Here is a 26,119-nt window from a genome sequence, read left to right as displayed (position 1 = left end):
ATAATGAGCTCTTCAAGAGAGCGTCAAGAAATAGAGCAGAATCCCAGGAACAGCAAAGAGGAAGCTCAGGTGAGAGATTAAGTGACTTGAGAGGTAAGAAGAAATGTGGAACAAAGTGAGATCAAATAATTCAAGCAAAAATGATCTGGACTAGACCAGGGCATCAAATGCTGCACGGATTTCAAATATTTATAATCTGGCCAGAATAGAATGGAAAATATCAGTAGGAATTAACTAGTAGAAAGCTATTACTAAAGTGATTTTTATTGTAATGGTAGGGGCAGTTGCCAGATAGCACTGGTGAAAACGTGAATTGTGAAAGGCAAAATGTCACGGCATTAACCACCACACAATTAAATGTAATAAGGACTTATTAACGATCTTATTGTGGTCCTACCTGGCCATGTAGTTTAATTTAGGTTTTACATAGGTAGTAAAGGATTCTAAACTGACTTCCAGCTTCCTATCTTAAAAGAGTTGACAATCTATTTGTAATGTATACAATTGCATTTTAGATTTCATATGACAAACCATTCTATTTTATATAGAGAACACCATGATATGATAGGTAAGACAACATACATAGCTGTGCATAATACATAAGTATCTCTTACTAATGTGTGGCATTCAACTTGGCAGGGACTATGTATGTGTATAATTTTAAAGGAGATTTAATGGCATACCTAATAAATAGGCTGAGTAAATGCTCGCTGGATCACTAAGTATAGGAATATAAATGACACTATAATGTACTTTAAACTTTCCAGGAATCAGACACATGTACATGTACGTTATCACTTCGAATGGTGACCTACGTAACTGTCAATACTGGTCTGAACTGGCAATATTCTTTCCTCATTTCAGGACTTGACTTTTAGTAGTTGCTTCTGAGTTTTCTCAAATTTGAATCTTTAGCAAACAATTTATAAGGAAGTGTAGCCCTCCTAGCCCACAGATGCTCTGCAAAATGCTCACTGACGTAGCTTCTGTTTTCTGATATTGTTAGTAAGGCAGAATTAAATGACTTGCTATTTTGGCATTTTAGCAAAGAAGTAGCATTTCATTCCAAAACTCAGAACTTCTTTTTAAGCCATTGGTGAGAAAGTCTTTTTTAGGGCAGTGTTTTGGCCCTAAACCATGATTTTCTGTACTTACCAGAATTTATTGAATTTCTCTCTTTTAGATCTAGAAAGAAAATCAAGAGGAGATGATAGGTGGGGAGAGATTATATTTGAATCCTGAAAATAATCTTCCAATATTTTTCTGAAACAATTTACCACTTTGATTTAACTTAAAGCCACTTCAAACGTGGGAATTGCGGGTACAGTTTTCCTGGACACTGAGTTAATTTTATTATCCATTCAGGGGCTTATATACCAGTTTGTTATACAGTTCATTTAGACAAAAGTTGAACAGTTGATAGAATATATTGTTAGGCCCCCTCTTGTTCTCCTTCCATTTTCCACAACATTACATAAACTTTCTAACATTATCTTTTTTTTGCTAGAGTTCAATATACTCTACTGTGGGAAAAACAAAAACAAAATAGAAACGAAACGAAATTTTTGCAAGCTTGTTGTTGTGAAAATACTTCACTCAGGCAGCCGGGCGTGGTGGCTCATGCCTGTAATCCCAGCACTTTGGGAGGCCGAGGCACGCAGATCATGAGGTCAGGAGTTCGAGACTAGCCTGGCCAACATAGTGAAACCCCATCTCTACTAAAAAGAAAAGAAAATGCTTCACTCTAGAATTTTGATGAGAAGGTAAGCCGGTATATTATCATAAAAAAAACTGTTTCATTTTCCAAGTCGTTTAGTCAAAATGCAGACTTGATGTGCTTAAATGAACTTTTCAATTCTGCACTCAGAAAAGCGCCATGAAGACTCACGTGCAGCTTCCTGAGGAATCTGTGTTTCACCCTAGAAGCAATGGGAGGCCACTAAGGTATTTTAAGCAGAAGCACGACATCTTTATACATATTGTTGAAAGACAAACCTTCCAGCAGCATTTAAAATAGATTGAAGTGGTGAGATTATTTCAATAACATATTACCCTGAAAATATTTTACCTTGCTTGGTGGCAACAGGATTTAGGGTAGTGTACAGGGAAATATGATTTGACAATAGAAAATATAATTTTGGGGGAAGAGGGAAAAAATAAGAATATAAAAGCAGAAGACAAGCAGGAATTAAATTAATATACAACATCATACTCTAATGTTGAATACCCTTGATAGAAGTAAGCTAAGCTTTGGTTCTATAGCTTCCCAAACAATGTGAAATAGAAAATATCATTAGCTGCATGCATCAAAATATCTAGAAGATGAAAACAAACCACTTGTTTAGGAGAATTATAGCTCTTTGACATGAGAAATTACAGAGGAATTTCTCTGCGTTCTCACAGAGAGGTACCAGAATGGTATGGTAAACAATGTTTGGCACACACATTTATATTTTACATACAATGGGTCTGATTTTGGTCTTAAAAGGACCCAATTTTTATCAAAGCTCAAGGTGATTATAATTTTAGCCTGAAAGATAATCAAACGTGGCCGGGCGCGGTGGCTCACGTCTGTAGTCCCAGCACTTTGGGAGGCCAAGGCAGGCGCATCATCTCAGGTCAGGAGTTCGAGATCAGCCTGGCCAACATGGTGAAACCCCATCTCTACTAAAAATAGAAAAACTAGCCGGGCGTGGTGGTGGGTGCCTGTAATCCCAGCTATTCGGGAGCTTGAGGCAGGAGAATCGCTTGAACCTGGGAGTTAGAGGTTGCAGTGAGCCAAGATTGTGCCATTGCACTCCAGCCTGGGCAACAAGAGTGAAACTCCATCTCAAAAAAGAAAATAAATAAATAAATAATAAATAAATAAATATAATCAAACACTCCACTACAGACCTAAAAATAAATAAAAAGGCATAGTAAGCAATTGAGTAATCAATTAGACAATATGAAGCAGTTAATTTCAGTTAGGCACTGTCCTTGTCACCAGAGATACAACTGGCAACAGGACTTACTGTGGCTCTCAGACTACTGGGGACACAGACAAGTTAACAGACAATTGCCATAGTGCATGATGAGTAGAAGGAGAGGGAAAGCGTAGCATGAGATGTGAAGGCAAAGCATGTTCCCAAATGAGGCTTGAGGGATGGTTTCCAAGGGGAAGTGACATCTGTGTAGCAGCCTGGAAGGGAGAAGAAACTCCTGAGGAAGAGACTAGAAAAATGGGAATAGATGAAACAGCCACACTCGAAGGGAAGAAAGAGGTGAGCACCTTTCCTCCAGTGAGTTAACAGTTGTAACTCTAGTCCCTAGAACAGAGTTATCGAAACAAACTTTTAGCTAACTCATAATTTCTTAAATGTTGATAGAATAACATTGCTTAACACAGTTAACGTCATCCAGCTAGAGCTTATGAAGGGCATCATATTTAATGTTGAAACTCAGAAGCATTCTCATTACAATCAGAAACAAGGTAAGAGTGATTTCTGTTATCTTTGTTATCCAACATTGTTTTGGAGACAAGAGTTAACAGTAAACAATATATATTTTGAGACAGTAGAGGCAAACTCATTCATTTGTCTTCTTTGGATGATACACTTATCTATATAGAATACTCAAGACCCTACATATAACTCAGAGGAGATCAAAGTTACTGATACAAAATAAATATATAAAAATCAAGAATATTCTTATACCTCAGCAATACCCATAGAATGTAAGAGAAAACAAAAGCCTCTATATGCCAGTAACAAAACCATGAAAAATAAATTTAATAAAAGATGTGCAAGATCTTTTTGGACAAAATTATAAAATGTTAACAAAATATATAATATAGAATGGGAATATATGAGTTAAACAATGTTATAGAGAATTAATCCATAAATGCAAAGTAAAATTAATCAAATTATTATACATTACAACTCATAGAGTCTGCATCTAAAATTTATTGCTTCAACTGTACAGTAAGGATCCTTTATAAAATATAATATTTGGGGGAATAGTATGTAAAAAATTTTCAGCTATTTCTTGATAAGAAATATGAAGCCACAGCTTTAGGAAGCACAGCATACTTTAAAGCAAATCAACAAAAATAATTTTACAATGAAACGTAATGAAGACAGAAAAAGGAAAGCAGGCTTCTACTTCTAGCCATGACCCAGTAACGTAGTGTGGGACTTACATTCCTGACATGAACAATAAAACCAGGTAAAAAATACAAATCAACCGTGTACAAGCCTTGGATCATAAGCAGCTGAGAACTCTCATCCGTGAGAGAGGGGAAACGCATGAAATGACCCCCTACTCACCATAGCTCTCCAGGGAGAAGTCCCAAAATGCAGCAGAGGGAAGCAAAGCTAAAACAGAGCTTTACGGAGTCGCTAATGAGGAGGCAGAGAGTTCGAGGCTACTGAAACAGCTGAACTTTGCATGGCAGATTACCAGAAAGGAGAACATAGTGGACAGAGGGACTCCTAAGTATCTGTCTGCGTTTCTCAAAAGTCCTTAAGGCCAGGGTGGGATTCTGCATTGCCTAGCACAAAGTGCAAGGTTCAGAGTGGAGCTGATATTGCATAGCTGTGGTAGATGTAGTACTGTGGCCCAGTTAGAATGGAAGGGCATTGTTAAGTTAATACCTGGGCATCCAGCTGATATACCAGCAAGGTCACACCTTAGGAGCAAAAACTGTATCTGAAAGTTACGTAACCTTCCTTAAGGAAACCTAAAATGAAGCCTCAACAAAATACGGTAGAGATGCTAGCAAATTTGCATCCCATTAAAACAAAATTCAGTGTTCTAAAAAAGACATTAATCCAGACTTAACAACAATTGATCATTTACAAAAACCAGCATTCTTGCTTATTCCCTAGACATGAGAATAGGCAAGAAGAGAAATATCTATTTATTTAATCCAAAAAGAAGACTGAAAAAGAGAAACAATATGACAAGAGATAGGATAGAAAACAAGCAGAAATATGGTATATATAAACCCAAATATATCAATAACTGCAATAAATGTAAATGCACCAAACACTCCAATTAAAATGCAGATTATCAGACTTTGTAATAAAGTGAGACTCAACAAAATGCAATCTACAGAGGTTCACTTTAAAATATGAAGATACTACCATATGATCCAGCAATTCCACTACTGTGTGTGTATAGGTGTATAGACAGACAGATAGATAGACAGACAGATAGAAAAGAACTCAATGTATTGGAGAGCTATCTGCACTCCAATGTTTATTGCAGCACTATTCACAATATATAGAATCAACCTAAGCAACCACTAATGGATGAATGGATAAAGAAAATATGGTATCTATATACACAATGAAGTATTATTCAGATATAAAAAATAAAATCCTGTCAACTGCAGCAACATGGATGGAAACAGAGGTCATTATGTTAATGAGATAAGCCAAGCACAGACACACAAATATTGCATGTTCTCACTCATATACGGGAGTTAGAAGAGGGGATTTCGTGAAGATAGAGAATAGACTGGTGGTTACCAGAGGCTGGGAAGTGTAGTGGGGAAGGAGGTTGAAGAGGGGTTGATTCATAGACACAAATAGTTAGACAGAAAGAGTAAGACCTACTATTTGATAAATCAGCAAGGTGACTATCGTTAACATATATCTATTGTACCTTTCAAAGTAACCATAAAAGAATAATTCAAATGTTCCTAGCATAAAGAAAAGGTAAATACTGACAGTGATGGATATCCTAAATATCCAAATTCAGGCCAGGCACGGTGGCTCACGCCTGTAATCCCAGCACTCTGGGAGGCTGAGGCAGGTAGATCACGAGGTCAGGAGATTGAGACCATTCTGGCTAACACGGTGAAGCCCTGTCTCTACTAAAAATACAAAAAATTAGCCAGGCGTGGTGGTCGGTGCCTGTGGCCCCGCTACTCTGGAGGCTGAGGCAGGAGAATGGCGTGAACCTGGGAGGTGGAGCTTACAGTGAGCTGAGATCGGGCCACTGCACTCCAGCCTGGACAACAGAGTGAGACTCCGTCTCAAAAAAAAAAAAAATCCAAATTCAGTCTTTGCATATCATATACATGTATCAAATTATCTCATGTATCCCAAAATATGTACATTAATTATATATCAAAAAATAAAACTGTTAGAGGAAAACAAAAATAAAATATAAAGACACAACTAGGTTTAAAGTAAAAGTATGACAAAAGTACATCATGTACACATTAAGCACATGGAAGTCACAGAAGGATACATGTATATCAGACTAAGTGGATTTCAAGATAAGAAGCATGAGAGATGAAAAAGAACGGCCGGGCGCGGTGGCTCACGCCTGTAATCCCAGCACTTTGGGAGGCCGAGGCGGGTGGATCATGAGGTCAGGAGATCGAGACCATCCTGGCTAACAAGGTGAAACCCCGTCTCTACTAAAAATACAAAAAATTAGCCAGGCGTGGTGGTCGGTGCCTGTGGCCCCGCTACTCTGGAGGCTGAGGCAGGAGAATGGCGTGAACCCGGGAGGCGGAGCTTGCAGTGAGCCGAGATTGCGCCACTGCAGTCCGCAGTCCGGCCTGGGCGACAGAGCGAGACTCCGTCTCAAAAAAAAAAAAAAAGAAAAAAAAAAGAAAAAGAACATTTCATGCTAAAAGAGCAAAATCAACAGAGAAATGTAACAATCCTCCATGTGTCTGTGGCTAATAACTGTCTTGAAAAATATGAGCGAATCTGGCAGAACTAAAGAGAGAAGTAGAAGAAATTCCAACTTGGAGTTGTAGATTTTGACTCTTCTCTCAGAAATGAATTGAAAAAGGAGACAAGAAATCAATAAGGATATAGAAAATCTGACCTCAGAACATTATACCCAGCAACTGCAGAAAACACGTTTTTTTCCCAAGTGCATGTGAAATTGCCCCAGATATACCATATGCTGGCAATATAATGAGTGTTAATACATTTCAAGACTAATGAGAAAAAAAGAAAAAAATTACATCGTCAGAAAAAAAAGAGGCTACATCACTACATATCCTCTCATCATGTAAGAATAAGGAAATATTATCTACAAGTCAATGTCAGCAACAAATTAGATGAAAATACACGTTTCTTAAAAACTCAGTTTACCAAAATCGACACCAGAAGATACAGAATACCAGAAAACTATTTACTTATTAAACAGATTTGTAATAATATACTTTCCTGCAAACAAAAGCCCAGATACACTGATGCATCCTAACAAATGAATCATGTCCATTTTCACACAAACTGTTTTCAAAGTAGCAGAGGACACTTCCCTAATTAACATTATGAGGCTATCTGTAATGACACCATGTTGACTATAATAAAGACTGGCATGGTCATTGTAAGAAAAAAATGTACAGCATTAAGTTTTCTTACAAACAAAGATATCCACCCTATTTCTCCTCAATTCAACACCCAGGAATTTACTCAAGAGAAATGAAAACACTTATTACCCAAAGAATTGTAGATGATACTCATAATTAACTTATCCACAATAGCCAAGAACTAGAAATAAGAATATGTTAACAAGTGGATGAAGAAACAAATTCTGGTGATTCATACAATGGAGTAAGTATGTAGAAATAAAAATAATCAAACTGATGATATACACAAGAACAGATATTTTGTAGGTATTGTATTTAATAAAAGGAGCCAGATATAAAATAATACATAGAGCTCTGTAACAGGCGAAACTAATCTATGCTAATAGAGATTAGAGCAACGGTAAGAGGAGTTGGAGTGAGGAGACTGGACCATGCCAAGGTGAAAAGGAAACTTTCAGGGGAAAGAAGCACTGGGGCTGCTTGTTACGTGGATGTGTGTATTTGTCAGCGCTCACTGAGCTGCACACTGAAATCTATGCACATCATTTTATATTTTGTGTGTAAAGTTTATAATAAAAGTGAAAATTAGAGAAACCAGAACACCTATGAAAGAAGGACAATGGGAATAACTGGATATATACTAAATACAACAATGTAAGCTGGAAGAAAATGGAATATTAACACAAAAACACAAAGGATATTCTAAACAAGTATGTAGGTTTAAATTTTGTCTCTGTAAAATGTTATAAATATCTAATTTGTGAAGTTTTCATGAAAAAAGAGAACTGAAATGTTAGAGAAAAACAGCATGTATGTCAGGGGAAAGATGATCTGAGTTAAAGTCTTTGAGTCTTGTTTTCTAGAAAGGCTCTCCTATGGTTCTGACCCTTGTGAGGTTATACGTTAATGGAAAAATTTCAAGAGTAGCCACTAACAGAAAAGAAGAAGCTTAAATATCAAATCAGAAGAGAGAAAAATATTAAAAATAAAATAGATAAAATGAAAATATAATAAAAGAGAAAGAATTATAGTTGTTAGGGACATTCACATAGTGATTCTTACAACCATCCCCCAACAGGTTAATCGGCTCATATGTATAATGATTTGAATCCTTCCCACAACTTCATGGCTTCACTATTACCCGAATTTTATAGAGAAGGAAAGTGTGACACACAATGTCAAAAAGCTACTTCACTTAGTAGCAGATTCAAACTTAGGCAGTTTGGTTACGAAATCCATTTTGGAACCAATATCCTATTCTTCCTTGAAAGGCAGAGCAAAGATAAATTTAAAAGAGATATAATGAAAGGAATTCCAAAATGACAATAATTTCAATAAATGTGAAAGAAGTTACTGGTAAAAATACTTCTCAAAGGAATTTCAAAAGTTACAGCCCTGTGCCACTGGAAGTGGTAAATGTAAAATACGGCAAAATTGAATGTCAAAGAATGTCAAAGAATGGAAAAAGAGGTAAACGCAAACCAAAATAAAGATTAGGTAGCTATATTTATATAGAAATACAGTTTAAGATAAAAAATATTGAGGTTAGAAAGGATCATTAGACAATAAAAATATTCTATTCGCTGGGAACTTACAGCTTTACAAACTTGTATGCAACTTATAAAACAGGCCCCAAAGTTTACAGCAAAAATGAAAAGAACTACTGTGGGGTTCATGGTGAATAAATGATGAAATCATTCAAAGAGGACCTCAAGCCCTAGAGTGGAGAATTCTTATCTTTTATTGTTTTAAATAATGATTAGACATAAATGTATACACCATAATGCTTTTAAATATAGTAATAGATATTTTTGCCAATAAAGTCTTTGCTACTTGCTATTATTTCTTAAGTAAAACTTATAAGGAGAAATTACTGATTTAGAAATTAAATAATTTTCAAGGTTTGATATTTATTATGTATATTATTGAGTTTACTTTCTGAAAAATTAAACTTACACTTAAAATACAGATATAATTTTCAATATTTTAAGAAGGTTTTACCAATTTGAATAGATAAAATATAGTGAATGTAGATTATTTTAATTTTGAACTCCAGATTTAAGTAATACAGGTTTCTTTCATACAAGTCATGATGCATACTCGTGTATGAGCTTTTCATGTTTTACACAATTTCTATTAGCATGTTTATGTTATTTTTGACTCATAAGAGCTTTCATATATTAAAAATATAGAACTTCAATTTGTAAATATTATTTCAAGTTTTAATGTAGTTCAAGTACTGCCTATAAACAAATTTTTCATTAAGAAGCTTAAAGGTTTAATATACTCTAATGTGTTTCCGTTATGTTTTTCTTTATTGCATTGAGAAAATATTTTATTATTTCAAGATTAATGATTTCCACATATTTACTATGCTTGTAAATTAAATGGACATATAATTATTATTTTAGCAAAAAATCGTAATAAAAGCAGAGTTGAGTGAATTACAATTAGAATTGAATAAAATGAAATAAATCAAGACATGTTGAAAGTATTGATAGTGGCACATAAATTGAGAAAAATTTAGAGTCATGAATGTTTATAGATTAGTCAACCAAAAGAAGTAGAGAAAGGCAATAAAAATTAGAAACAGATGAAATAGAAAATAAAGATACCACAGATATATTAAAAAATTAATAGTTTTCTTAAGAAGTAAAAAAACAGGCCGAGCATGGTGGCTCACGCCTGTAATCCCAGTGCTTTGGGAGGCCAAGGCGAGTGGATAACCTGAGGTTGGGAGTTTGAGACCAGCCTGACCAACATGAAGAAACCCCATCTCTAATAAAAATACAAAATTAGCCGGGAGTGGTTGCATATGCCTGTAATCCCAGCTACTCGGGAGGCAGAGGCAGGAGAATCGCTTGAACCCAGGAGGCAGAGGTAGTGGTGAGCCGAGACTGTGCCATTGCAATCCAGCCTGGGCAACAATAGCAAAACTCAGTCTCAAAAAATAAAAAGTAAAACAAAACAAAACAAAACAAAAAACAGCTCTCATAAAACATGAGGGGATGTCATTAGAAGAGGGGAGATTTAACATATTATTGGAGAATCCCATAAATGACTTGAAGCCAGTAAGTCAGAAACCTTGGACCAAACAAATTCTTAGAAAAATATAATGATAGAAAGCTGAAGAAGAAATAGCAAGCTTAAATAGCCTAATAACCATAGAAATAAAATTAGTGTTAAAAATTATCACAAAAAATTACCATCCCAAATGACTTTGTCAGTAAATTCTATGTAACTTTGAAGGAAAGGTTTCCCATTATTCTGCATTTTCCAGAATATGGTAAAAAATAGAAATACCCTAATATCATGAGACCAGCAGAAGCTTAAAGCCAATCTCAGCTGTTATTAATTACTGTGAATAAGAATGGGAATTAACTGGTTATGGGATTGACACATAAAATTCTATTTCTTTTTTTATTATACTTTCAAGTTTTAGGGTACATGTGCACAACGTGCAGGTTAGTTAGATATGTATACATGTGCCATGTTGGTGTGCTACACCCATTAACTCGTCATTCAACCTTAGGTATATCTCCTAATGCTATCCCTCCCCCAACCCCCCACACCACAACAGGCCCCGGTGTGTGATGTTCCCCTTCCTGTGTCCATGTGTTCTCATTGTTCAATTCCCACCTATGAGTGAGAACATGCGGTGTTTGGTTTGCAAGGACAAAATTCTATTTCTTTACATGAACAAATGAGAAACAAAAATTACAAAAATATGTATGCCATTTACAAAGACAATAAAGTTACAAGAAAAATCTCACAAAAATTGTGCAAGACAAGACTGGAGAAAACCAGATAATTTTGTTGAAAGCTTTAAAAAATGATTTAACTAAAAAGAGATATCATATTCATGAATTGTAAGGCTCATATTATATTTAATTCTTACTCAAACATATTTATAGATTCAATGACATGTCAATAAAATTCAAAAAGTCTTTCTAAGTTGATTCTCATTCTTATATAGAATACACTAGACCAAAATTTGCCACAAAAATTCTAATAACACAACGTGTTTATGTGCATGAGTTGCTCTACCAGGTATCAAAACCTATTATTAAGCAATAGATAGTGTGTTATTGGCCTAGGGATAAAGAAATTGATCAGTGGAACAAAACAGAACACTTAAAAACAGATCCATCCATGAAATCTGGCATCCATTGTCACAGCAAGTATGCAATAAAATGGGTCATTTAATTCAAAGTTATGTTCTGTGGCATTTTATGTCAGTAAATTGAGCATTCTGTAATTCATCTGAGGGTGGTGCTTGCAGGGGAACAGGGTATGTAAGGCAGACTCATATCCTGAGTGTTAGTTCTGGCATGAATGAATCGCTGCCCCTCTGGGATCGAAGACATTCGGATGTATTAGATTTTCCACAAGGTGACGGACTGTCCTCTTTGCACAATGTTATATGTTGAGACCTCAGATCTGGGCTCTGCTACTGACAGGGCTGAACATTCAGGAGTAACAGTAGGTAGCTGAGTCTCTGCATGAAGAAATTGGGGGTATCTGGCTTATTCATAACCACCACTTCTCTCATCATAACTACTCCATTTATGGGGCCACTGTGGAAGACAGGATAGAGTCTGCCTGCCATTTGCCCCTAAATGCATCCTGTCTACCTAGCTGTTGAAGGCCTCCTTTACTGATACATATTGATTATGCCTACACTCTTGGGTCTTCCCTCTATTTTCCTCCTCTTCATTTCCAATCTTTCAGTGTGGGTATTACCAGGTCCTTATTCATGAAAAAAGCAAATCATTGCTACTGCCCAGAAATGCATGCATCTTCTTACCTCAGGTTATTTTTCTCTCCATACAAAAAACATGACTGAGTCTGTCTACTGCTTGTGGCTCTACAAACTGATTTTCTTCTCCTCATTGTTCTTTGAGGTCATTCCCGAGTAGGGCTGTAGTACAGCATCAGACCAATTCTGTCTTTGCCAACATGCTGAGCTAACCTACTTCCAGAGGAAGACTTTTATTTTCTTTTTGGTTCATTGTTAGGCGGTTTTAGAGAATGGCCAAGGAGGCTCTACTTGTGTGTGGGACACCCATCAACACAAAAAATGTTGGCAATATGGAGATCTGAGGCATCTGTTCTTGTAATTTTGAGGGCCATCTGGAAATGCTCAGGACAAATTCTTAATGTACAACTCACATCATATGATGGATTGTGACTGCACCTGTCCAACTTTGTAACTTGGTGAATCTGACTATACTCAACTCATTATGTAGTTCCAGTGGTTAGGCACTTGCTCTCTGCTAGGGCTGGGTAGCATGCCAGAAGTTGCTTTTCAAACCCCAGACAGTACCTTGCTTCAGAACTCTTGTGTTCTTTGCAGTGCCTCATTTACTGGGGATGACCAGAGGCTTTATGTTAGTACATTATCCACCATAGATCCCTCTAGCCCCATTGGATCTGCCAGGTCATACAGTCTGGACCTGTGACAAAGTTCTCTCTCATTCTTTGCCCTTAAAACCGGCAGCCTCTGAGTCACTTCATAAATGATCAGGGCACTTTGTGCAAAAATGGTTTATGCTACCTCCAAAATACAGATAAAACTACTAAGCCTGTGGCCATGTTTCTCTTAGTGGTAGGGAATGTATGGTTCAATAACCCTTTCCCTTAGATAGAATAGAGTACCACAGCATGCTCCAGATTAATGAAATCTTGTGAACATTACGAAAGTGGCAGGTGTCTGAATTTTAATTTTGTAGAGTACATAGTGCCCTCTGGCATGTTATGTACCTTTTCAGGGTATCAAGAATACTTGCCACTTTCTGCTCACTAGAGCATTTTAATATATGATTAATATGGTGGCTAAACACGGTAGTTTTCAGAATGACAAGATGATCCAAGTCTTTACAGAATACGTTGTGACAAAGAACAGGAGAACTGACACAGCCTAGAGGAAAGACAGTACATGTGCACTTCTACTGTTCCCATGTAAAAACATGTGGCTTTGGTTCCCTTTACCCCTGAATTTTGAAAATAATTTACTGTATCAATTATAGTCACCATATCAATACTTGCATACCCCAAATCTGTGATGATCTGTTATATTAGCAGACACACAGTGTGGAGGCTCCTCAGGGTACCTGACCACATATGGTCCAGATACAGCAACAACTATAGTTATGAGTACATTCACCAATATTCTAGATCTCCTCTCCATCTAGGCACAGAAATGGATTGCATTTCCCTGCCCTTTTCGAAATGAGGCTAAGTCTATTTGAAGGGCTTTGGCCAGTAAAAGGGCAAAGTCACATTCATCACTTCTCGGTGGTAACTGTTAGCCAGTGTGTTAGCATCTACATTTGCCCCCATTGCCATGGTCATTATCAAAGTGTTGATGTATGTCTATTCCTGCCCCAAATAACCTGTGTTGGTCATGCCCCTGTGAGCAAGAAGTAAAACTTTAGTTGTGTTAAGCCACTGAGATTTTGGGGTCATGTACAACGTTAATATATCCAGAGGCTGGGAAAATATGGCCTACTGCCTGTTTCTGTCATACCATGTTGTTGAACCCTGGTATAACCGATGCTATCATGATAAAAAATGAAGAAAAATACCTTAAATCTGAAATGCAGCTCCACACTGAGCATAAGTAGGAATAATTGTTTTCCTAAGCCACTCAATTTTGGCATGACTTATTATGCAGCATTATTGTGGCAGTACCTAATGGATATACTATGTGATTTAATTCCATAAAGTTGTATTTTTTTTTTTTTTTTTTTTTGGAGACGGAGTTTCGCTCTGTCGCCCAGGCTGGAGCGCAGTGGCATAATCTCGGCTCACTGCAAGCTCCGTCTCCCGGGTTCACGCCATTCTCCTGCCTCAGCCTCCTGAGTAGCTGGGACTACAGGCGCCCGCTACCACGCCTGGCTAATTTTTTGTATTTTTAGTAGAGACGGGGTTTCACTGTGTTAGCCAGGATGGTCTCGATCTCCTGACCTTGTAATCTGCCTGCCTCGGCCTCCCAAAGTGCTGGGATTACAGGCGTGAGCCACCGTTCCGGGCCAATTCTATAAAGTTTTAACACAGACAAAATTCAGGAAAGGTATTTGAAGTCACAATGGCAGTCACCCTTTGTGAGTGGTGACTGGAGGAAGCCCCAAGAGGGTGGCTGAGTTGCTGTGATGTTCTGGTTCTTGATCTATGTGGTAGATACACAGGAATATTCAGTTTCTGAAAGTTCATCAGGTTTAAATAACTCGATGAACTTCTGATTTTAGTTTTCCTTATGCCAAGAAGTTTTCCATATTTTCTTTGTGTCAAGAAGATAGAGGAATGAGCAATACCTATGTGTCTTTATATTGAATGATTTATGAGGCATATAGTTAAGAGCAAAAGGCAATCATAGAATAGCCAGTATGAATAGTATGCCACCATTTGTGTGAAATTCAAAAGGTGGATATGGATACATACATTCTGGCATATAAAAAATATCTCTAGAATGATAAATTTAGTTGCCTTTAGAGCGAATAACTGAAAAGTCAGAGTAGAGATTAAATAAACTTTTAACTGAGGAACCCCCTTTTTAAAAACTGATTTTTTTAACCACGTGTATATAACTTAAATTTTAAATACCAAAATTAGATTTATAATGTATATACTATACTAGTAACTCTTCCATTATATCTGTTTCTGATTGCTACTATTACTTAAATAACAATGTGATAACATCCTTAATTTTGTTTCACTATTTAACATAGATTTCTGAAAAGATGATTGGATCCAGAAATGGATGAGAGATTTCCTTGAAGATTAAGTGATTTATTCACAGATATTTACATTTTATATCTTACTGTATCTTTTTGTTATAGGTAAAATTATGTTTCATATTTTTGGACAAAAATTTAGAAATTTTTAGGATGAGAACTTGTAAGTCTAGAGTTCTTTGGATGATTTATGAAAATTTGATTTGCATTATTACATATATATTTTAATTTTTATGTGGCCCAGGCTCAAAATGCTGGGCTGAAACAATCCTCCTGCCTCAGCCTTCCAAGATTGTTTGGATAACAGGCATATACCTCAGTGCCCAGCTAAAATTCTTTGTTGTTTTTTCATCTTGCTATTTAAAGAGCATTATTCTAAAAATGTATTTATTGTATATATTTAAGGTATACAATATATTTTGATATATTCACAGTGAAATTATGAAAGTCAAACAAACCAATCTATCACCTTCTGTAGTTACCTTTTGTGATAAGAGAACCTAAAATCATAGCAAATTTTCAGTATACAATGTTATCAACTATAGTCTTCATGTTTTGGGTTGGATCTCTAGATTTATTCATTCTCACAACTGCAAATTTGTACCCTTTGGCCTACATCTCATTTCCTTCCCCTCATTCCCAGTATCCACAATTCTACTGTTTCTATTTATTCAACCTGTTTTAGATTCTGCATACAAATGAGATCACACAGTACTTTTTCCCCCTATGTCTGGCTTACTTCACTTAGCATAACGTCCTCCAAGTTCATCCGCATTGTGGTAAATGGTAGAATCTCCTCTTTTAAGGTTGAATGCTATTTCATTGCATTTTTCTATGTGCAATCCTAAAGGGTGATTTTTAGGATGGAGCATAGGGTTATCCAGCCACTTCTTAGCCTGTATTAAGAATCACAGCACATAATCACACATATACACACAGAGCTCTACAAATTTTTGGTGTACAGTGGCTTCATCTACCTTCAACTCTATGGCTGAGGGGCTTTTCTTATGGGTCATTTGGCTGCCACAGTAGGCAGTGTGAATTAATCATTCCTTTTGTCTAAATATCTTCTTTCTTCCTTTATTTGTATAGAGGAGAAGGAAGACTTGTGTCTTTTGTCATTTCCATTTCTGAGAGTTTCCTCTCCATTCTGCCCATTGGTCTCCTATTTTCACGGTTTCTCCTGGCAGAGAAAGACCCTCCTGTCATTTTAATAATCAATAGCAGATTGCAATTCTTCATGCTCTTCCAGTATTTTTCCAGTGGAGGGAGGAATTTCTGCCACATATGTGGTTATGTCCTAAGAGGTGTCATGTAATGACACAATCAAAATATCTTTATATCTGTAGATATAAAATATCTAGATATAAAACATCTGGATATAAAATATCTATATGCATAAAATCAAAATCAAAATATCTAGCATATGATTCACTGATTTTACTTCAAAAATAAAAATTCTCCAGGTGTTAATGCATTAGCATCATGGTCATTTTTGTTTAATCTTTATTAAAAATGATTGAAAAAGCCATTTGGATGAAGACACAACTCTCAGTTCTCCTTGTATCATGTTAGTAACTTGATATATTTTACTTCAAGTTTTTTAAGAACTTGAATTGACCCGAAATAAAATAACTATTGGCTGTTTTTTTCCTACAATTATGAGCCTTTAATGGAAAAGATGACATTATCAATTCTCAAACGTACTCTTATTTGAAAAACAATCTACTGAATGATATTACATTGCAACTACCTAGAATCTCTTAATTCTAAGAAAGTATGTCAAGGGCAAGAATTCTGTTGTAAATACCAATTCTACCCTTGTAGAATTATCTTATGCAAATCACTTCATATGTCAGTGCATATTAGAAGGAACTGGCAGAAGTTCCTCCAACATTTGTGTTACCTTTGATTTTTTTCATGGTTAAAATATGGTTAATAAAATCATGTTGTTGTGCTATTCACAGGGATATTTGGTGGCAAGTATTGCTATACTTCCCTATAATAGTTTTGATGATTGTAAGATGTTAACATTGCTATATGAATCTCATATCGTTAGAACATGTTCCCTGTGTACCTAAGTCAATTGTTGATATAATTTAAGACAAAGAAAAGCGATCACTAAAGAGAAGTATGGATTTGTGATGAGTTCGAAGTGAATATAGTGTTTCTTAGTGAAAAAACTCTAAGTCAGGAATCTCAGAATGTAAGTCATTTGTTCTGAGTGACATTAAAAAATAAAGCCAATCTTATGTAAATTGAAGGAGTGGAGCACGATTATTGGATGCTTATTAGGGCCCTCTCCTGATCTGATATTCTGTGTATCTTTTACTATATGAATACCCCTTGAGGCTGTCTCTCACTTGTTGGGCTATTTCAGTATCTTGGTCATCTCTGAGATTTTCTTGTTGGCATTAACAAATTAGGATGCATTGGCCCTAAAGGCAATGGTTAGAGAATTATGTCAGAAATAGCAGCTTATGCAATTGCCAGCAGTTCTTTGGAAATTTCTCTCATACTATTCTTTGAGTCGAGTCATGGAATCAAATTATAAGTCAAATTTTAGTGTACAACTTTGTCTTCTGATATGCAAAGAGACAGAGCAGAGAGACTGAATGCTGAAGCAATGCTGGAGGAACTATGATAGAAAGATGCTCAGACTGGTAATTTCTATGTATTATGAATTTCTATCAGATCTTCTCCACTTAAACAGACCCCTTTGGGAGCATGGTCTATTATCATGGATTTTCAGATGCCCCCAACATGGAGTCTACATGGATACAAGGAAATAGTCTATTATATTAATTAGGTTCATTAGCAGCTTTAACGAATTAACTCCCAAACTTTCAGGACTTCAACCTATTTCTTCCTCAAGTAACCATGTAATCTGGATGTTCCTGAACTTTGGAAATCTTTCCTCCAAGCTGTGGTGTAGGGACCTGTGTTCCTTCCCATTTGTGGCTCTGTCATTCATGAACAAGGTCTGAGAATTCTCTGCTTCCAGCTAATAGACAGTGGGGAAACAGCATGGAAAATGCACACAGTTTCTTTTTCTTTTCTTTTTTTTTTTTTTTATTATACTTTAAGTTCTAGGGTCCATGTGCACAACGTGCACGTTTGTTACATATGTATACATGTGCCATGTTGGTGTGCTGCACCCATTAACTCGTCATTTACATTAGGTATATCTCCTATTGCTATCCCTCCCCTCTCCCCCGCCCCAGGACAGGCCCCGGTGTGTGATGTTCCCCACCCTGTGTCCAAGTGTTCTCATTGTTCGATTCCCACCTATGAGTGAGAACATGCGGTGTTTGGTTTTCTGTCCTTGCGATAGTTTGCTCAGAATGACTGTTTCTTAAGCACCATGGGTTGCACGCACCATATTTATCACTTCTATTGTCATTCTGGACCTAGCGCAAGGACTACTGGGGAACATAGACTCTGGCTGGGCAGTTGCTTTCTAGGGCAACTCTATGCTATGCAAGAAGAAAGCACGATTCCCACAGTTATCCCTGCCCCATCCCATGTGTCAGTTTAGCATTACGAGATATGTGTTAGATCTGTCCCTTAATACCAAGTTCACTGTTTCTTATTAAGTGGCTACCCACACATGGGTGTTTATCAAGTTCATTAAACCATAAATTGAATTTTTGGCCGAGTCCTATCCCAGGATTGACAACTCACACTCCCCTATTGATGACTCTTGAATGACTCTCATCACATTCATTACTAAAACAGAAAGGTTGCCTGAAACAAGCTGTTATTAAACAAAGCAGTCCTGGCTGCATTTATTTGAAGGTAGTCTTCCCCAGTAGATCATTTTTCTTTGGATTATTAACTCAAAGTTCTTGTTTAATGAGGTATAGAACAGCACTGTTTCCAGCATCAGGAGACCTGATACTAAATGCTTACCTCTTTTGACCTCAGGTTTCTCACCTGCAAAATGCATTTAGACTGACCAATCTCCAAAAGCTCTTCATGCTCAAAAGTCTCTACAGAGTCAATTGGAAACCTATTATGTTGCTTGTGTACCTTAGCCCCTTTGAAGTTCTGTTTTCTCATCTTGTGGTCATGCATATTGATGTGTTAGCCACATTGACTATGCTCATGTCTGAACACTTTTGCCAGTGTGATCTGTCAACTTGTCACTGCTTCCTAGACCTCAGCAACTCTGCTGTAATTTCTGATCATGCTTGAGTGTCTTCTGGAAGCACCCTTTCCCTCCATCACTTCAATAGCTGGAATGTGGCCTATATGCTCAAATTCCTAATCAACTTTTTGAAGCATTAAGCCTTAGCTTATGATAACTGAGATATCTAACCTTTGAAAACATATTCCCCAGGTAGACACCACTCTCTTCTCTTTGAATCTAATTTAGTACCCATGAAACGTGATCCATTTGATGGGACCATCTGTTTTTTTTCTTCTGCCAAAGACACTCTGCACATTTTGGCAGCTTCTCTAAGTGTACTCAGTAACTCATGCCAAGTACAGTTGGAATGCACCATGAATCTCAACTCTGAAAACAACTGAACTAAGCAGTGTTCATCTTAAACTGACTGATGTGCAGTGAGTCAAGCAACACTGGCCTATATACCTTAAGGTGTGGAGGGGAAGAGGAAGGGAGAATAAGTTGATGTGATAACTTCTGCACTGTAAACTGGGGGCAGTGATTTGGATTCACAGGATAGTGACAATTTTGGGATTTTTCTTCCCTGAAGTCTACTCCCCAATTTTGGGATTACAATCTCTATTCACATAAATATCACTGTGATCCTTTTTATACACATGACCCTGTGTATGTCTGTACCCAGTTGATTGGTTCAGAAGCAACATCTAAGTCTGAAGGAAGCTACATTTAGGACTCAGATTTCCAATATGGTATTTCTCAAGTCACTGTAGCCATACGAGCAACAGCTTGGGTGTTATACGACATGAGTCTCCCACATGGACCAGAAAAAGAAAGATTGACTGTCTTCAATGAGAGCGAGAAGAGGCAGGGTGAGAGGGAGGATATGAGGAAGAAAAAAAGAGTAGAAACGTTCAGATGAAGACAGAGTTCTGACATTATTTGTGCACTTGTGTCTGTTTTTCCCCCAGCCCAGTCATATTTTGTTTCTTAAATTCTAAGAGGTAGAGCATTTAAAAAATAAATTGTTTTTGCTTAGGCAAGTTATGCTATCTGCAAACTAAATTTTAACTTATACATACAAGGGAACAAAGTAAGATTTAGTATCTTTCCAGTTAACACAAGTCTTGGCTTATATTAGTTAATTTCATTAATTGATTAAAGAATCTAGACTAAAAATGAAGTTTGAACCATTTGGAGGTCTGATCTCATTTTTAGAATCATTGACTCCAAAAGATGGTAGTCTTTATAGCTTATCTGTCACAAACAGTGTCCATGCTTTCTGTGTGTCCAGATTCTGAAGGGTTAATCTTATAAAATATTTATACCCTTAAACCAGACTTAACATTTAATTAGATAAAATATTATGATGCTATAGTTTTTTCTGCTTTAATATTAAACTTTAAGGGATGCTTTATAAGACCATCATAGTTCTCATTTGTATATCAGAAAAGCCAAACACAAAATATGGAAGTACAAAGCATGTATTCAGAAGTAAGCTTAAAATAAAGCTTGGTGATTTTGAAAGGCTGTATTCAATTTGTTCACACTGTGGTGAAGAATAACAGTCAAAGAGGCAGGTATCGTTCCTGATTTTTATCAAAAATTCACATCATATCAGTGATAACATTTTAAAAAACTTTATAAATATCTCTTTAAAAAGTTAAATGAAATATTCAGTGACTTTGTGTCAGTGTCTAGAAAAAGGAACTTCAAACTAGATGCAAATGTGTCTTACCCATTTTTAATTAACTCTTGAGAGTGATTTTAAAAACATTGGTTTTATGTATGCTTAAGGAAACTTGTTAATACTATATTTTTTTTCTGGCTTTTGATTGAATTTGCTTTGCTTTAAATTGGGGAGTCGTTTTAGGAAACATTATCTTTTCCAACCCCAGGATCCCATTCACTGAGGAGGAAATGAAGAGTCCTCATCTTTTTAGATGGAGCTCTTTGTTAGAATCCTGGCTTCGGAAGTTGCTGTTTTTCGTAGGGCATGTCCTTTAACCTCTCTGAATCCTGTTTTGCTCATCTCTAGTAAGATAATAAAGTTTGACTTAAGAGGTGATTGCAGAATTAAAGACATGGTAGACATATAGCAGGCAAGAAATAAATAGTTGACATTGTTGTTCACACCAATGTCCTCAGCCAAAATAGAAATTCTATTTGGCTCCCATTAAAGTTTTCATGAATGAACTGGCTTATTCTATTCTTGACAACGCATAGCATTACTCCCTCTGCAAATGCAAGAGGGCAGAAAAACGAGGACTCTGCTTACTGCTGTGATGCTGAAGAAGGTTCAACCAAAGAAGCCTCACATCTTTTGTTCTCCTGGCTGAAAACCATGTATTTGGGTGGTTTTCTTTTAATAACATTCTTTGTCAGCTGGGTTGAATTCCCCAATTTATTATGTGTATTTGACGTTCTTTTACCACACAGATATTAATAAAGAAGGAAATAATATAGAAGTAGTTACCTTCCCTCTCCCCATAGAATAAAAGGCATAAAACCATCATATTTTCATTTGGTCAAACAATCAGAAAGTAGACAAATACATATGGAAATTTAAAGATTTTTCTATTTTTTTCTCACAGGAAGAAGAGCAATGTTAAAAAAAAAAGTACATTTCAAAGTGATGAATGAAAACAGCCTTTGAATGATGGATTTAGAAAACGTACTTGTTCCATAAAAAATATCTCACAGTAGAAAATAAATTTTCTCATTATCAAGGTTTTCAATTATTATCAAATAAACCATTTGAGTCATGTCTTTTAGTATTAAAGTCAAGGAAAGCATTGGTGTCCCATTTGCAGTGATTCATAGTAAGTTTAGCAGATTCACGATGGCTGGGTTTATTCAAATTTGTCATTGAGCATTCAAAAACAATTCTCTAAATACATTTTCTATTTGTTATCATATAAATCAGTGCAAACAAACCTCCATGATGTTTAAGGGCTTAAATATTCATTCTAAGTGTTCACTCTGGGTGTTTTAGTTTTACTATCCCTTGGTGTGTCAACCTTTATTTTGCTTACTAAGAATATCCTAGTGTAGGTGAGTTACTGGTAGGGACACAGCAAGCACTCAACTCTTCTTTAAAATTTATTTTTATATTAGAAATTTGTATTTTGACCTTCATATTTGAAAATGTGTGTCTTCTCTTTACATAGCATATCCTTTGGCTCAGTTATAATTACTTACTTGCCTGTTTCAGTAAGTTCTAACCAGAAGGATGCACAAAAGTTAGATGCAACCCAAGGAGGGAAAAAGTGTGAATGGGTTTGCATATCATTTCTCAAGTAACATACATCAGTGACAAAAAGCCGTGAAACTTTACTTTTTTCTAATCGTTTACTGTTGCAGCTTTTACATCAGGTGCATTATTTATTTAATTTATAAAATTCAACTCAACCAAGTTGCGTGATGGTAGAATTCATAAAACCACTCATTTCAGCTGGGTACGGTGGCTTACGCCTGTAATCCCAGCACTTTGGGAGGCCGAGGCGGGCAGATCATGAGGTCAGGAGATTGAGACCATCCTGGCTAACACGGTGAAACCCTGTCTCTACTAAAAATACAAAAAGTTAGCTGGGCATGGTGGCGGGCAACTGTAGTCCCAGGTACTTGGGAGGCTGAGGCAGGAGAATGGCGTGAACCTGGGAGGCGGAGCTTGTAGTGAGCCGAGATCGCGCCACTGCACTTCAGCCTGGGTGACAGAGATTCTGTCTCAAAAAAAAAAAAAAAAAAAGAAACAAAACAACAACAACACTCATTTCATCCTTACATACCCTATTAGCTATTTCCCCAATTCATTACACTTTTTTTTTTCTTTCTGGTTTTACGTATACAACTTTAAGTCATGTTTCTTTTAGTTTTTTTTTTTTTTAACCTACTCTCCCTCCACAATTTAAAGAGCTTGTGGATATCAACAGGTTGAATGAAATTTTACCAGGAGTTAACTTATCTGCTATGAGTAATTCAACAGTGTGTTATTAAGACAATGTGGAGGCATAAAAAGGCAAAACATTTTTTACTTTCCAACTTTTATTTTAGGTTCAAGGGGTACATGTGTGGGTTTGTTACATGGCTAAATTGCATGTTGTAGGGGTTTGGTGTACAACAACTTTGCCAGGTAGTGATAGGTAGTTTTTCAATCTTTACTTTTCTCCCACCCTCCACCCTCAATAAGGCCTGGTATCTATTGTTGTTCTTTTTGTCCACGTGTATTCAATGTTTATGTCCCACTTGTAAGTGAGACCATGCAGAATTTGGTTTTCTGTTGCTGTGTTAATTTGCTTAGGATAATGGCTTCCAGCTGCATCCATATTGCTGCAAAAACCGTGATTCTATCCTTTTTCATTGCTGTGTAGTATTCCATGGTGTACATGTACCACATTTTCTTTATCCAGTCCACTGATGTGCATGTAGATTAATTCCATGTCTTTGCAACTGTGAATAGCACCACAAAGAACATACACATGGCACGTGTCTTTATGGTAGAACGACTTGTAGTCTTTTGAGTATATACCCAGTAATGGGATTACTGAGTCAAGTGGTACTTCAAGTTCTTTGAGAAATCTCCAGACTGCTTTCCACACTGGCTGAATTAACTTACCTTCCCACTGGCAGTGTGTAAGTGTTCTCTTTTCTCTGCAATCTGTCCAGCATCTTTCATTTTTTTGACTTTTTAATAACAGCCATTCTGACTGGTGCAAGATGGTATCTCACTGTGGTTTTGTCTTTCCCTAATGATTAGTAATATTCAGCATCAAAGACAATTTCTGTTACGAAAGCTTTGCAAATGCATATTCTCATGGCCATTTTATCCTTTGCCCCACTGCATAGAGGTTGCAGCATTTGAAAATTATCAAAAAGCAGCAGAGACAAGTTTGGGTGGTTTCCAGGGGAGAGGCACTGAAAGTGATTGATTCCTATCAAAAGCACAAGGACAGGGTAAGTGATTCTTTCTAGTAAATGACAGTAGAGATACAGCTGAACTGTAAGAATGTAATAATGGTCATGGCAAGGAAGGCTGATGAGTTCTAGGAAAAGCACATTGCTCGTGACCGGAGCCTTGGTTCTTGACTTTTTCAGGTCTGGTATCAGGCCATCACCATATCAAAGAATCTTAATACCACCATGGTAGAAGCCAAATTTTTACTTTTTGTCTTTATGATTAGCCACAATCATATTTATGTGTTTTTTGTCAACGCTCAATAATGGCAATGTAAACTCTGTCATATCTAGTTTACCCAAGTGTACTATTACCAGGTCATGCTCCAAAATTAGAGCATCACTATCAAGGGGCATATTGGGTCATAAGTACTATGCCCTAAATTCCACTTTGCTAAGGCCAACTGATCAAACAGCAAGCAAATACGAGAAAGGAGATTGAAACTGAATCACAAGAAATGTGCGTTCTACGTGCGGAAGTGGGATTCATTACAATCCGATGCACTGCACCAAAAGCATAGTGTGAAAGATTAAAAGAATAATTTAGGATTTCCTAATTAGATATCATTGTCTTCTCATCAGCAGTTCAAGTATAAAAAGACAGAGATAGATAAAGTAGGCACATTGGTAGCAATAAAATAGCAGTGACTAACACCAACTGTTACAGCAGGAAGCCCTAGGCATTGGGAAGCTGGCACAGAGGTTCTGGCTATGTCCTACAGTCAGTACCTTTCTGGAAACCCTCTGGAAAGAAAACAGCTGATGGGATCAGGGAAGATAGGACCCTACCAGACTAGATCAAGGACAAAAACCATCTCCTTCACTCAGAGTGATAGATTCTGTCCACCGTCAGAATGTATAACAGGTAGTTCAAAGAGATTCATTTCCATGAATTTCCTTTGAGTCCAAATTCACTTTTTAGTAAGATAATACATGCCTCCATTGTATTATTTTTTCCTATGTCTATGTTTGCCAAATAATGCCGTAAAGATCTCCATTTGTGAGTTTAAACATAAATAACTGAACTCAGATGAATTCTGCTGGTCACGTGGGGATGATCTAAGAACTTGGCAGGAATTGCTGTGATCGCATCTTCAGGCTGCTAGTCATAGACACCTGTTATCACTGGAAAAAGGACTCTTCAGTCACAGACCTTAATGTTTCCTGTCTTATGCTGGCAGAGACATCTGCACACAGAACCTTTGTTAGTCCAATTTTTTTTGCACAAATTTGTTATTTTGTGGAAGTTCCCAGTAAACACACACATGTGAGAGCACACACAAGAACTTGTCTACATCACTACTCATTGGAAACATTTATTTTCTCTTCATTTCTGCTCCTCTTCAGAGGAAAAAAAAATTCGTGCAGGATAAGGTACCATTGCTTGTCAATCGCTTTCTAAATTTGGAATCAGTCCAGAAAGCCCAGGAGGGATCTCAACTCAGCCACAGTTAATCTTCAGAAAATCCATCCCACGTGACTTCCCCCACACCCCTCCCCCCCCATCAGCGCTGATCTTTTCATGTATTCTTTATAAGGAATCCGTTGAACTTTAATTAATATGAAAAATTCAGGTTTTCATCTGATTTAAATGTGTCTGACATCACGCTGCTGCTAAAAGCAGAACAAAGTACAAGCATGGTGAAAATAAAACTTAAAACTTGGTGCCTATTTTTTCACCGCAAATCATCTCTAGCACTTTCATGAGGCAGGAGAGAAATGTACCCACAGCATTTTCTAGGAGTCTTCATGTCCGTATGTATGAACAGGGACATGCTTGAAAAATGTCTGTACACAGGCAGGAACACGATTTTCTCTGTCACATCAGTCAGCAATCTTTAGCTCTAAACGTTCCATTTAAAAATGACTGGAGTGACATAGTTAAAGGTATAGAATTCCAAAAGGGTTAACGTGGTAGTGAGGAAGAATTCTTCTGAAATGAAAACACACACTCATCTGCCATTCGTACACATGCAC

General features: G+C 36.8%; 1 long non-coding RNA gene across 1 annotated transcript in view; it reads left to right on the top strand.

Moving 5' to 3' along the window:
* CELF2-DT (CELF2 divergent transript) overlaps positions 1–26,119 on the top strand; it is a 42,812-nt gene that overhangs the window by 4,284 nt on the left and 12,409 nt on the right. The window contains exon 2 of the long non-coding RNA NR_120637.1: positions 24,035–24,142. This is a non-coding gene — a long non-coding RNA (CELF2 divergent transript). The remainder of the gene's footprint in view (positions 1–24,034; positions 24,143–26,119) is intronic.

This window comes from Homo sapiens, chromosome 10 (genome assembly GCF_000001405.40).
Source record: "Homo sapiens chromosome 10, GRCh38.p14 Primary Assembly".
Classification (NCBI taxonomy): domain Eukaryota; kingdom Metazoa; phylum Chordata; class Mammalia; order Primates; family Hominidae; genus Homo; species Homo sapiens.
This window is presented reverse-complemented; position numbering and strand designations above follow the sequence as displayed.